General features: G+C 54.7%; 2 protein-coding genes across 2 annotated transcripts in view, besides 4 other annotated features; both read right to left on the reverse strand.

Moving 5' to 3' along the window:
• The window catches only part of PTCD1 (pentatricopeptide repeat domain 1), a 22060-nt gene extending 9251 nt beyond the window's left edge, over positions 1 to 12809 (reverse strand). Inside the window, exons 1-5 of the mRNA NM_015545.4 lie at positions 12703 to 12809; positions 8801 to 9279; positions 7289 to 7429; positions 3599 to 3817; positions 3114 to 3215 (exon numbers count right to left, since the gene is read on the reverse strand). Coding sequence (NP_056360.2) covers positions 3114 to 3215; positions 3599 to 3817; positions 7289 to 7429; positions 8801 to 9253 — 915 coding nt within the window. The 5' untranslated portion in view covers positions 9254 to 9279; positions 12703 to 12809. The remainder of the gene's footprint in view (positions 1 to 3113; positions 3216 to 3598; positions 3818 to 7288; positions 7430 to 8800; positions 9280 to 12702) is intronic.
• The window catches only part of ATP5MF-PTCD1 (ATP5MF-PTCD1 readthrough), a 49429-nt gene that overhangs the window by 9251 nt on the left and 27360 nt on the right, over positions 1 to 12818 (reverse strand). The window contains exons 3-6 of the mRNA NM_001198879.2: positions 8801 to 9279; positions 7289 to 7429; positions 3599 to 3817; positions 3114 to 3215 (exon numbers count right to left, since the gene is read on the reverse strand). Of these exons, the coding sequence (NP_001185808.1) occupies positions 3114 to 3215; positions 3599 to 3817; positions 7289 to 7429; positions 8801 to 9279 (941 nt within the window). The remainder of the gene's footprint in view (positions 1 to 3113; positions 3216 to 3598; positions 3818 to 7288; positions 7430 to 8800; positions 9280 to 12818) is intronic.
• Positions 3865 to 4461: an enhancer, noted in NCBI's record as "H3K27ac-H3K4me1 hESC enhancer chr7:99027477-99028073 (GRCh37/hg19 assembly coordinates)". NCBI's record gives its function as "activates a minimal SCP1, AML or CMV promoter by ChIP-STARR-seq in primed H9 embryonic stem cells {active_cell/tissue: H9 hESC(primed)}" and the evidence as "EXISTENCE:reporter gene assay evidence [ECO:0000049][PMID:30033119]".
• Positions 9303 to 9450: a silencer, noted in NCBI's record as "fragment chr7:99032915-99033062 (GRCh37/hg19 assembly coordinates)". NCBI's record gives its function as "represses an EF-1alpha promoter that drives an FKBP-Casp9 reporter gene in an ReSE screen in phorbol 12-myristate 13-acetate-treated (for megakaryocytic differentiation) K562 erythroleukemia cells {active_cell/tissue: K562(+PMA)}" and the evidence as "EXISTENCE:reporter gene assay evidence [ECO:0000049][PMID:32094911]".
• Positions 10577 to 11102: an enhancer, noted in NCBI's record as "H3K4me1 hESC enhancer chr7:99034189-99034714 (GRCh37/hg19 assembly coordinates)". NCBI's record gives its function as "activates a minimal SCP1, AML or CMV promoter by ChIP-STARR-seq in naive H9 embryonic stem cells {active_cell/tissue: H9 hESC(naive)}" and the evidence as "EXISTENCE:reporter gene assay evidence [ECO:0000049][PMID:30033119]".
• Positions 12399 to 12688: an enhancer, noted in NCBI's record as "active region_26315". NCBI's record gives its function as "activates an Ori minimal core promoter by ATAC-STARR-seq in GM12878 lymphoblastoid cells {active_cell/tissue: GM12878}" and the evidence as "EXISTENCE:reporter gene assay evidence [ECO:0000049][PMID:35858748]".

A 12818-nucleotide genomic window follows, 5' to 3' on the forward strand; every position in this document is an offset into this window, starting at 1 on the left:
CAGAGATCGAGGTTGCAGTGAGCCGTGATCATGCCACAGCACTCCAGCCTGGGTGACAGAGCGAGAGTGTCTCAAAACAACTGTAAAACATTTAAAAAATTGGCCGGGCCTCTCCCTCTCCCTCTCCCTCTCCCCCTCCCTCTCCCCATGGTCTCCCTCTCCCTCTCCCTCTCCCTCTCCCCACGGTCTCCCTCTCCCTCTCCCCACGGTCTCCCTCTCCCTCTTTCCACAGTCTCCCTCTGATGCCCAGCTGAAGCTGGACTGTAACTGCTGCCATCTCGGCTCACTGCAACCTCCCTGCCTGATTCTCCTGCCTCAGCCTGCCGAGTACCTGCGATTGCAGGCGCGCGCCACCACGCCTGACTGGTTTTTGTATTATTTTGGTGGAGACGGGGTTTCGCTGTGTTGGCCAGGCTGGTCTCCAGCTCCTAACCGCGAGTGATCCACCAACCTCGGCCTCCCGAGGTGCCGGGATTGCAGACGGAGTCTCGTTCACTCAGTGCTCAATGGTGCCCAGGCTGGAGTGCAGTGGCGTGATCTCGGCTCGCTACAACCTCCACCTCCCAGCCGCCTGCCTTGGCCTCCCAAAGTGCCAAGACGGCCGCCACCCCGTCTGGGAAGTGAGGAGCGTCTCTGCCTGGCCGCCCATCGTCTGGGATGTGAGGAGCCCCTCTGCCTGGCTGCCCAGTCTGGAAAGTGAGGAGCGTCTCTGCCCAGCCGCCATCCCATCTAGGAAGTGAGGAGCGCCTCTTCCCGGCCGCCATCCCATCTAGGAAGTGAGGAGCATCTCTGCCCGGCCGCCCATCGTCTGAGATGTGGGGAGCGCCTCTGCCCCGCCGCCCCGTCTGGGATGTGAGGAGCGCCTCTGCCCGGCCGCGACCCCGTCTGGGAGGTGAGGAGCGTCTCTGCCCGGCCGCCCCGTCTGAGAAATGAGGAGACCCTCTGCCTGGCAACCGCCCCATCTGAGAAGTGAGGAGCCCCTCCGCCTGGCAGCCGCCCCGTCTGAGAAGTGAGGAGCCCCTCCGCCCGGGAGTCACCCTGTCTGGGAAGTGAGGAGCGTCTCCGCCCGGCAGCCACCCCGTCCGGGAGGGAGGTGGGGGTCAGCCCCCGCCAGGCCAGCCGCCCCGTCCGGGAGGGAGGTGGGGGTCAGCCCCCCACCCGGCCAGCCGCCCCGTCCGGGAGGGAGGTGGGGGTGGTCAGCCCCCTGCCCGGCCAGCCGCCCCGTCCGGGAGGTGAGGGGCACCTCTGCCCGGCTGCCCCTACTGGGAAGTGAGGAGCCCCTCTGCCCGGCTAGCACCCCGTCCAGGAGGGAGGTGGGGGGGTCAGCCCCCCGCCCGGCCAGCCGCCCCGTCCGGGAGGGAGGTGGGGGGTCAGCCCCCCGCCCGGCCAGCCGCCCCGTCCGGGAGGTGAGGGGCGCCTCTGCCCGGCCGCCCCTACTGGGAAGTGAGGAGCCCCTCTGCCAGGCCAGCCGCCCCGTCCGGGAGGGAGGTGGGGGGGGTCAGCCCCCCGCCCAGCCAGCCGCCCCGTCCGGGAGGTGAGCGGCGCCTCTGCCCGGCCGCCCCTGCTGGGAAGTGAGGAGCCCCTCTGCCCGGCCACCACCCCGTCTGGGAGGTGTGCCCAGCGGCTCATTGAGAACGGGCCATGATGACAGTGGCGGTTTTGTGGAATAGAAAGGGGGGAAAGGTGGGGAAAAGATTGAGAAATCGGATGGTTGCCGTGTCTGTGTAGAAAGAAGTAGACATGGGAGACTTTTCATTTTGTTCTGTACTAAGAAAAATTCTTCTGCCTTGGGATCCTGTTGATCTGTGACCTTACCCCCAACCCTGTGCTCTCTGAAACATGTGCTGTGTCCACTCAGGGTTAAATGGATTAAGGGTGGTGCAAGATGTGCTTTGTTAAACAGATGCTTGAAGGCAGCATGCTCCTTAAGAGTCATCACCACTCCCTAATCTCAAGTACCCAGGGGCACAAACACTGCAGAAGGCCGCAGGGTCGTCTGCCTAGGAAAACCAGAGACCTTTGTTCACTTGTTTATCTGCTGACCTTCCCTCCACTATTGTCCTATGACCCTGCCAAATCTCCCTCTGCAAGAAACACCCAAGAATGATCAATAAAAAAAAAAAAAAAATTGGCCGGGCGCGGTGGCTCACGCCTGTAATACTAGCATTTTGGGAGAGCAAGGCGCCGGATCACGAGGTAGGAGAGCGAGACCATCCAGGCTAACATGGTGAAACTCTGTCTCTACTAAAAATACAAAAACAAAATTAGCTGGGCATGGTGGTGGGCGCCTATAGTCCCAGCTACTCAGGAGGCTGAGACGGGAGAATGGTGTGAACCCAGGAGGTGGAGCTTGCAGTGAGCCGAGATCATGCCACTGTACTCCAGCCTGGGCGACAGAGCAAGACTCCATCTCAAAAAAAAAAAAAAAAAATTAAAAACATTAAAAAGAAAAAGAAAAAAAAAGCTCTCCAGCGGGGAGCTGTGGTTCACACCTGTAATCCCAGCACTTTGGGAGGCCCAGGCGGGCAGATCACATGAGGCCAGGAGTTCAAGACCAGCCTGGTCAACATGGTGAAACCCCGTCTCTACTAAAAATACAAAATTAGCTGGGCGTGGTGGCGGGCGCCTGTAATCTCAACTACTCGGGAGGCTGAGGCAGGAGTATCGCGTGAACCTGGGAGGCGGAGGTTGCAGTGAGCCAAGATCGCTCACTCCAGCCTGGGCAAGAGTGAGACTCCATCTCAAAATAAATGAATGAATGAATGAATGAATGACTCCTGGGTTGCACCTGCAGAAGTGCTAATGGGGGTGTGGGAGGGTTGAACAAGTCCCCAGGTGAGTGTGTGGCAGGCTTTCAAGGAAGGTGAGTTTAGAGGGGCTAAGCCGACTGCAAAGCAGGGTGGGAGGGGCGGGGGCCACCCTCATTCCATCTCCAAGGGCCTCCTCTCCCTGCCATCTGTAGAATGGAGGCTACAGTGGCTGCTGGGTTTTCAGAAAAGAGCACAGATATAAAAATACTCAGCACAGGGCCATCGTGGGTGCTCACAGGATCACCATTTTGCACCTCTGGCACCGGGGAAGCAGGGCAGGAAGGTGGGGTGGGAGGGACATACCTGGAGGGCGTACCGGAAGCCTGTCTTCTTGTCTTGGATGCAGCCCATGAGCAGGAAACTGAAGGTCTCCTCTGTGACCACGTGCCCTTTGTGGATGATTTCCTGGGGGAGGGAACAAAGACGTCCCACTGAGAACCTGCAGCAGGCTGGGCATGGTAGCTCATGTCTGTAATCCTGGCACATTGGGAGGCCAAGGCAGGATGATCACTTGAGGCCAGGAGTTTTGTGACCAGCCTGGGCAACATAGCAAGACCCTGTCTCTAGGAAGCCTTCCCTCGAGTGCACAAAGCAGGACACAGCACACGGTGGCATACACAATCTCCAGTAAGGTCTCATCAGATCCATCTGTGAACCCCAGGGCCCAATACCGGCTGTCTCATCCTCCCTAAGCCTTCCTACATGAGGAGAGACAGACACCACAGCCCTGCCCCTGACACGTGGGACCAGCCCCATGAAGGGGAGCAGGACGGCAGGGGAAGCCCCACCTTGAACACATCGAGGCACATCCTAAGGTCTGCGCACTTGGCAGCCATCTTCAGCAGCGCGTGGTATGTTTTCAAGTTGAGCTCGAAGTTTTTGGCCTGCAGCTGCTGCCGGAGCTTCAGGGCGCTCTGTAGAGCTGAGTCCTTCCAGGGGGACTCGGCACAGACGTTGAACAGGGCCGTGTAGGTGGCGTCCGAGGGCTCCAGGTCCCGCTTTTTCATCTGTGGAGATGGAAGAAGCTCAGTGGTGGCCCGGGATCAGCTGGACGCACAGGTGAGCAGCTGCCCCAGAGGAGGCTGAGGCTGGAGAGGACCCCGTCACTGCATCCACCAGGCCAGGCTCTAAGGCAGAGCCATGGACACATCAGAGCCCAGCTCTCCAAACTCAGACACATTGAAGGGACTCTGAAAACTGAGCCCACACACCCAGATGTACCAAACAGGAGCTACCCTGCCCTGGGCACTTGTCAGCCCACTCCAGGCCTGGGGTCCTGGCAGCAAGGTCTTCCTGATGTCCCCACCTTCAGGCCACCCCGTCAAGGGGAAAGGGCCTGTAGTGCTTACTACCTGAGGGCTCCCGGGCAAGTTAGCACTTCCTCGCGAAAATGGGGATGACACCATCACCTTGAAACCAGGCATGCCTGTGGCAAGTGGGAGGATGCACTGCAGTGCTCTAGGGGTGGCCCCGAACCAGTGGCACAATGCACATTCTCAGGGCCACCTGATCTGGTAAGTCACAAGCCCCGGAGCTGAGTGACACTCAGCTTACTGAGCCTCCAGGGGACTAAGGCATGTGCTCAGGGTTGACAATCCGTGGTGAAGCCTAGCACTCGCTATTGGCCAGAGAAGGGCCATCTGGACAAAGGCAGGCGATAGGCAGCTCAGCGGCAGAAAGAACCCTGCTAGAGTCAGGCCATCTGGGGCTCAAATCCCAGCCCCGGTGCATTCAAGTGGGGTGGCCTTGGACATGTCCCTTCATCTCTCTGTGCCTCAGTTTCCTTATCTGAAAAGCAAAGAGGGCAGTCCCTACTTTGAGGATGATGTAAGCTCTGCGTGTATTGCTGCACTCCACAGAGGTGCACTGACAACTCACTACCTGCCCAGCAGCAGCCCTGGGGTTAGCAGAGCGGGCACAGCCTATCCTTACTGAGCTTACACTCAAGAAGGGAGACACACTGCAGGTGAGTCACCAAAAACAGTAACAAGGCTGGGTGCCGTGGCTCACGCCTATAATCCCAGCACTTTGGAAGGCTGAGGTGGGCAGATCACCTGAGGTCAGGAGTTCGAGACCAGCCTGGCCAACATGGCGAAACCCCGTCTTCTACAAAAAACACAAAAAAATTAGCCAGGCATGGTGGTGGGCGCCTTTAATCCCAGCTACTCGGGAGGCTGAGGCAGGAGAATTGCTTGAACCTGGGAGGTGGAGGTTGCATTGAGCCGAGGTCGCACCACTGCACTCCAGCCAGGGTGACAGAGCCAAAACTCCCGTCTCAAAAAAATAAATAAATAAAATAAAATAAATAAAAACAATAAAAATATTAGTTTTTTTTCTTTTTTTTTGAGATGGAGTCTTACTCTGTCGCCAGGCTAGAGTGCAGTGGCGTGATCTCGGCTCACTACGACCTCCCTCCACTTCCTGGGTTCAAGTGATTCCCTTGCCTCAGCCTCCTGAGTAGCTGGGACTACAGGTACGTGCCACCACGCCCAGCTAAATTTTGTATTTTTAGTAGAGACAGGGTTTCACCATGTTGGCCAGGATGGTCTCAATCTCTTGACCTCGTGATCCGCCCACTTTGGGCTCCCAAAATGGTGGGATTACAGGTGTGAGCCACCGCACCTGGCCAAAAATAATAGTTTTTTAAAATAGATGTAATGGGCTGGGTGCGGTGGCTCACGCCTGTAATTCTAGCACTTTGGGAGGCCAAGGCGGGTGGACCACTTGAGGTCAAGAGACCAGCCTGGCCAACATGGTGAAATGCTGTCTCTACTAAAAATACAAACAAAATGAGCCAGGCATGGTGGCATGTGCGCCTGTAGTCCCAGCTACTCGGGAGGCTGAGGTATGAGAACTGCTCGAGCCCAGGAGGCGGAGGTTCCAGTGAGCCGAGGTCGCACCACTGCACTCCAGCCTGGGCGACAGAGCGAGACTCTGTCTCCAAAAAAAAAGGACTGTAGGAAAAAGAAAGAGAGATCAGACTGTTACTGTGTCTATGTAGAAAGAAGTAGACACAAGAAACTCCATTTTGTTCTGTACTAAGAGAAATTCTTCTGCCTTGAGATGCTGTTAAACTGTAACCCTAGCCCCAACCCTGTGCTTGCAGAGACATGAGCTGTGTTGACTCAAGGTTTAATGGATTTAGGGCTGTGCAGGGTGTGCTTTGTTAAAAAAGTGCTTGAAGGCAGTAGGCTTGATAAAAGTCATCGCCATTCTCCAATCTCGAGTACCCAGGGACACAATACACTGCGGAAGGCCGCAGGGACCTCTGCCCAGGAAAGCCAGGTATTGTCCAAGGTTTCTCCCCATGTGATAGCCTGAGATATGGCCTCGTGGGAAGGGAAAGACCTGACTGTCTCCCAGCCTGTCCCCCAGCCCGACGCCCATAAAGGGTCTGTGCTGAGGAGGGTTAGTGAAAGAGGAAGGCCTCTTTGCAGTTGAGATAAGAGGAAGGCATCTGTCTCCTGCTCGTCCCTGGGAATGGAATGTCTTGGGTGTAAAACCAGATTGTGTGTTCTATTTACTGAGATAGGCGAAAACCGCCTCAGGGCTGGAGGTGGGACCTGCTGGAGACAATACTGCTCTTTGATGCACGAGATGTTGTGTAGGTGCACATCAAAGCACAGCACCCTTCCTTAAACTTATTTATGACACAGAGACCTTTGCTCACATATTTTCCTGCTGACCCTCTCCCCATTACCCTATCGTCCTGCCACATCCCCCTCTCCGAGATGGTAGAGATAGTGATCAATAAATACTGAGGGAACTCAAGAGACCAGTGCCTGCGCAGCGCAGGTCCTCCGTATGCGCAGGTCCTCCGTATGCGGGATGCTGAGCGTATGCTGAGCACCGGTCCCAGGGGACCACTGTTCTTTCTCTATACTTTGTCTCTGTGTCTTATTTCTTTTCTCAGTCTCTCGTCCCACCTGACGAGAAACGCCCACAGGTGTGGAGGGGCTGGCCCCCTTCAGAGGAGCAGATGCGGTGGCTGGGCTGTGACCTGTAATCCCAGCACTTTGGGAGGCTGAGGCGGATGGCCAGGGGTTAGAGACCAGCCTAGACAAAGCAGCACAATCCCACCTCTACAAAAAACTTAAAAATTAGCCAGATATGGTGCTACACACCTGTGCTCACAGCTACTGGCGAGGCTGAGGCAGGAGGAACTCTTGAGCCAAGGAGTTGGAGGCTGCAGTGAGCTATGACTGCACTCCAGCCTAGGTGACAGAGTGAGGCTCCCTCTGTTTTTTTTTGAAGGGAAAAGAAAGGGAACATGGGGACCGCCACAGTCCAGGCAGGTGCTAAAGGGCTTTCCATGTCATCTCGTTTATCACCCACAATCACCACCATTTTAAGGAGATGACTCTGAGGCCAGGGAGGTGAAGTCACCTGCCCAGTGTAAAGCACTAGCAAGTGGCACACTTGGGATCCGCCCCCAGCTTTTCAGAGCCTCACCCCGGCTGCCCTGCGCCCACATGCACCTGGTTGTAGAGGTTGAAGGCCTTCTTCAGGTAGCCAACCCGCCCGCAGCCCCCAATCAGCACCGTGTAGTTGCTCTCCATGGGCTGCAATCGCTCCTCCTTCAGCATCTGCCTCTCAAACAGGTCCAGGGCTTCAACCAGCTGCAGGGAAGAGGCAACAGGGCAGGGGCTCAGAATGGCCCCAGAGACCCTCAGCAGAGAGAGGGAGGTTGAAGCTGAGGGACCCTCCTAAAATGGTGGAGAACGGCGGCCCTGGGTGACTGCAAACCCCCTGGGCCCCCAGCTGTTTCTGCCCCATCCCTCACCTCACACCATTTCCCCGGTGAAGCCTCAGTTCATTCCTTTATTCCTTCATTATTTTCATCTGTTCATTCAAACAATAATTACTGAGTGCTTCAATGAGCCAGACAAGGTCTATCCACTGCATATACGGCTGGGAACAAGAGAGAGCTCCTTCTTGGAGCTCATGTTTTGGTGTGGAAAGTCAGACATGAGGCCAGGCGCAGTGGCTCACGCCTGTAATCCCAGCACTTTGGGAGGCTGAGGCGGGCAGATCACAAGGTCAGGAATTCGAGACCAGCCTGGCCAACATGGTGAAACCCCGTCTCTACTAAAAATACAAAAATTAGCCAGGCATGGTGGCACACACCTGTAATCCCAGCTACTTGGAAGGCTAAGGCAGAAGAATTGCTTGAACCCGGGAGGCAGAGGCTACGGTGAGCCAAGATTTCACCACTGCACTCCAGCCTGGGTGACGGTACAAGACTCCATCTCAAAAAAAAAAAAAAAACAAAAAAACAAACCAGACAGACATGAAATGGGATAATTAAGAAAGACACACAGTATATCAAGTGATGACAGGTGGTACGAACAAAACTAAAGCAGCGGCCAGGTGTAATGGCTCATGTTTGTAGTCCCAGCATTTCGGGAGACCAAGGCGGGCGGATCACCTGAGGTCTGGAGTTTGAGACCAGCCTGGCCATCATGGAGAAACCCCATCTCTACTAAAAATACAAAAATTGGCCAGGTGTGGTGGCACATGCCTGTAATCCCAGCTACTCAGGATGTTGAGATGGGAGAATTGCTTGAATTCCCCAGGAGGCGGAGGCTGCAGTGAGCCAAGATCGTGCCACTGCACTCCAGCCTGGGCGACAGAGTGAGATCCTGTTATAAAAAAAACCTAAAGCAGGGAGTGCTAGAAGGGTGTGGAGGATTCACTTTTCTTTTTCCTTTTTTTTTTTTTGAGACAGACTCTTGTTCTGTGACTCAGGCTGGAGTCTAGTGGTAAGATCAGCTCAGTGCAACCTCCGTCTCTACAAAAAAAAAAAAATACAATAAAATAAAACTGCGGTGGAGGATGGCAAAGGGTTGCGATACTTACAGCCATAAGGCTGGCAGTTCAACAGGGTAGGCCCAAAACTTAGAGGCTGGGAAAGTCAGGTGACCCCTTGCAAAACACTGAGCCACCAGGGGAAAGAAGCCAGGAGCCACAGAACCCAAAGTGCCCCTTACCTTCCCTTCCTTGATCAGGTGTTTGCACTGCAAGAAGTACCAGTACGGGGTGTTTCTCCGGCCTCGCCATAATTTGGGCTCCGGTTCCATTTGCTCATCTCTCCGTTCCCCAAACCGCAGGTTATGGAACTGGGCTGCGGATTTGCGGAATAGTCTCCGGGAGGAGTATTTGTCAGAGAGGGTCCCAAAACTCTCCTCCTCCTCCTCGTCTTCTTCCTGCGTGGCCGTGGAGTTGGAGTGGCTCGGGTCAGAGCCCAGGCTGCCCGTGTTTTCCTGACGCTCCTGGCCGAGGGGCAGCTGAGAGGAGGAGCTGCTGAAGGGCGCCCACATTGGCCGCATCAGCCCCTCCCTGCCTCCTGCCCACCTGGCTCTACAGGGGTCCAGGTGTTGCAGGATGAACAGTCCCATGGGGCGGGCCCTGGCGAACAGTCGAGCGAGTCTCACGAAGTCCATTTCTGGCTTTCCTGTCCCTCCAGGGCCTGGAATATATCAGGAAAAATAAGAGAGTCAACTCAGTTCCTAGTAACAAAAGGCAGAAAGAAAGAAGTGGTTACAAGTATGGGCCCAGGCCAGGCGCGGTGGCTCATGCCTGTAATCCCAGCACTTTGGGAGGTCGAGGCTGGCATATCACTTGAGGTCAGGAGTTTGAGACCAGCCTGGACAACATGGTGAAACCCCGTCTCTATGAAAAATACAAAAATTAGCCAGGCTTGGTGCTGTGCGCCTGTAATCCCAGCTACTCAGGAGGCTGAGGCAGGAGAATCACCTGAACCTGGGAGATGGAGCTTGCAGTGAGCTGAGATTGCGCCACCATACTCCAACCTGGGTGACAGAGTGAGACTCTGTCTCGAAAAAAAAAAGAAAAGAAAGAAAGAAAAAGAACAGGCCAGGGGCGGTGGCTCATGCCTGCACTCCCAGCACTTTGGGAGGCCGAGGCGGGCAGATCAGTTCAAGACCAGCCTGGCGACACCCCATCTCTACTAAAAATACAAAAAACATGAGCTGGGTGTGGTGCTACACGTCTAATCCCAGCTACTGAGGAGACTGAGGTAGGAGAATCGCTTGAACCCAGGAGACGGAGCTTGCAGTGAGCTGAGATCGCGCCACTGCACTCCAGCCTGAGTGACAGTGAGACTCTGTCTCAGAAAAAAAAAAAAATAATAATAATAAATAAAATAAGAAGTATGGGCCCAGAGGTTAGAAAGCCTAGGTTCAGGTCAGACATAGCTCACTGCAGCCCCACCCTCCTGTGCTCAAGCGATCCTCCCATTTCAGCCTCCCGAGTAGCTGGAACTACAGGTGTGAGCCACTATGCCTGGCTAATTTTATTTTTTGGTAGAGACAGGGTCTTGCTATGTGCCCAGGCTGGTCTTGAACTCCTGGACTCAAGCAATCCTCTCGCCTCGACCTCCCAAAGCACTGGGATTACAGCAATGAGCCACCATGCCCAGCCTAAAGTATTTTAGAGTCTGGTTATATTAGAAGGTTGCGATTGGAAAAGTCTTACAAGTGATGGCAGATTGAACAGATTAAAAACTAGGCCCAGTAGGTCAGGAGCGGTGGCTCACGCCTGTAATCCCAGCACTTTGGGAGGCCAAGGTGGGTGGATCCCCTCAGGTCAGGAGTTCGAGACCAGCCTGACGTGGTGAACCCTATCTCTGCCGAAAATATAAAAATTAGCTGGGCGTGACAGCGTGCCCCTGTAATCCCAGCTACTTGGGAGGCTGAGGCAGGAGAATCACTTGAACGTGGGAGGCAGAGGTTGCAGTGAGCCAAGATCGCGCCATTGCACTCCAGCCTGAGCGACAGAGCAAGACTCCATCTCAAAACAACAACAACAACAACAAACAAAAAACTAGGCCCAGCAAGGGGAGAGACTTGCTGGGGTCCTGCAGCAGTGCAGTGGGTGAGACTGGCCAGCTTGGGCTGGGCTGGCTTTGAACTCAGGTCCATGTAACGCATTGATGATTGTCCTGACCAGCACCTTTTGTGAAACTAGTGCAGGGGGCCTTTATCATTCTGCATCTGGCAAGCCCTGCCACTCCTTCTTACAAGCATGGTGTTTATGTAATTTTCTTTTTTGTGGAATGGGGTCTTCATGTTGCCCAGGCTGGAGTGCGATGGCACAGTGGAGTGCAAATGCACAATCACTGCAACCTCCAACTCCTGGGCTCAAGTGATCCTCCTACCTCAGCCTCTCAATTAACTAGCACTACTGGTGCACACCACCATACCTGTCTAATTTTTTGTATTTTTTTGTAGAGATGGAGTCTCCCTATGTTGCCAGGCTGGTCTAGAACTCCTGGCCTCAAGCAATCCTCCAGCCTTGGCCTCCCAAAGTGTTGGGATTGCAGGCGTAAGCCTCCATGCCCTGCCTTACGTGCATTAATTACAATACACAGAATTACAAAACAAAAAGCAATGATATTGAAATGGCATCAAAATGCTTTAAAAACAAATTTCTGCTATACTAGTATAGATGCTTATTTTCAATGCATGAAATAACAAGACCCTATCATAATTTCTTTTCTTTTCTTTTTTTTTTTTTGAGACAGTCTCTCACTCTGTCCTCAGGCGTGACCTCGGCTCACTGCAATTTCCGCCTCCCGGATTCAAGCGATTCTCCTGCCTCAGCCTCCCCTGGAGCTGGGACTACAGACGCATGCCACCAAGCCCAGCTAATTTTTGTATTTTTAGTAGAGACAGGGTTTCACCATGTTGGCCAGGATGGTCTGGATCTTTTGACCTTGTGATCCGCCCGCCTCGGCCTCCCGAAGTGCTGGGATTACAGCCGTGAGCCACCGCGCCCGGCCGACTCTATCATAATTTCAAAGCAGTAATAAATGTAAGTGACAGCTTAAGATACCACCTTGTAGTTGCTGCACAAACTGGGTTTTTTTGCGTCTCACTCTGTCACCAGGCTGGAGTGGGGTGGTACAATCTCGGCTCAATGCAACCTCTGCCTCCCGGGTTTAAGCCATGCTCATGCCTCAGCCTCCCAAGTAGCTGGGATTACAGGAACGCGCCACTACTCCAGGCCAATTTTTATATTTTCAGTAGGGACGGGGTTTTGCCATCCTGTCCAGGCTGGTCTCGAACTCCTGACCTCACGTGATCCTCTCGCCTCAGACTCCCAAAGTGCTGAGGTTACAGGTGTGAGCCACCATGCCTGGCCCTGCACAAACTGTTATCTGGAACTATCATTTACACTCACCCTCACAGTTTCAGGCACTGCTAAGGCTGCTCCAGCAATCAGGAAAGGAAATGCTATACTTCACATAGAGAAAAATAGGGGTGCATTTTGTTCCTACACAAGCTCATTACCCCACCCTGGTTAAAAAAAACCCTGAATTAGGCTGTATAGTGGCTCATGCCTGCAATTCCAGCACTTTGGGAGGCCCAGGCAGGAGGATCGCTTTGGGCTTGGGGCCAGGAGTTCGAGACCAGCCTGGGCAACATAGCAAGACCCGCCACCCGCCCCCCCAACCCCGCCGTCTCTACAAAAATTAAAAATAAAATTTTAAAAATTAGCCAAGTGTGGTGGTGCAGCGTCTGTAGTTCCAGCTACTCGGGAGGCTGAGGTGGGAGGATCGCTTGAGTCTGAGAAGTTGACTGCAGTGAGCTATGATCGTACCCCTGTACTCCAGCCTGGGCCACAGAGCGAGAAAAAACCCTGAATTAGAGACACGCTGCGGCCGTCCTTCCTCGGAGAGACCCGCCCCTCCTCAGAGGCCCACCCGGACCCTCAGGCCAACGCCGACCCCTCTCCACACGGACTTCTGCAGCCTCAGTTTCCCTCCTCAGACGCCCCCGGCTCCAATCCCGGCTCGGGCACTTCCTTCCCCTCTGGCGTGTCTTGGCCCGGGTCCCGGGGCTCCTGCGAGGATCACACAGGAACTCACTTGAAGTGTCCGGCGCAGTGCACTCCGACGGGGAGCCCTGCCCGGTCCCCGCGGCGAACCAGTCTCTTCCTCGGGTCCCCCTCTCCCCAAGCGCGCAGGCGCAATCCGCGTCGCCG

The sequence above is a fragment of the Homo sapiens genome, chromosome 7, assembly GCF_000001405.40.
Source record: "Homo sapiens chromosome 7, GRCh38.p14 Primary Assembly".
In the NCBI taxonomy this organism is placed as follows: domain Eukaryota; kingdom Metazoa; phylum Chordata; class Mammalia; order Primates; family Hominidae; genus Homo; species Homo sapiens.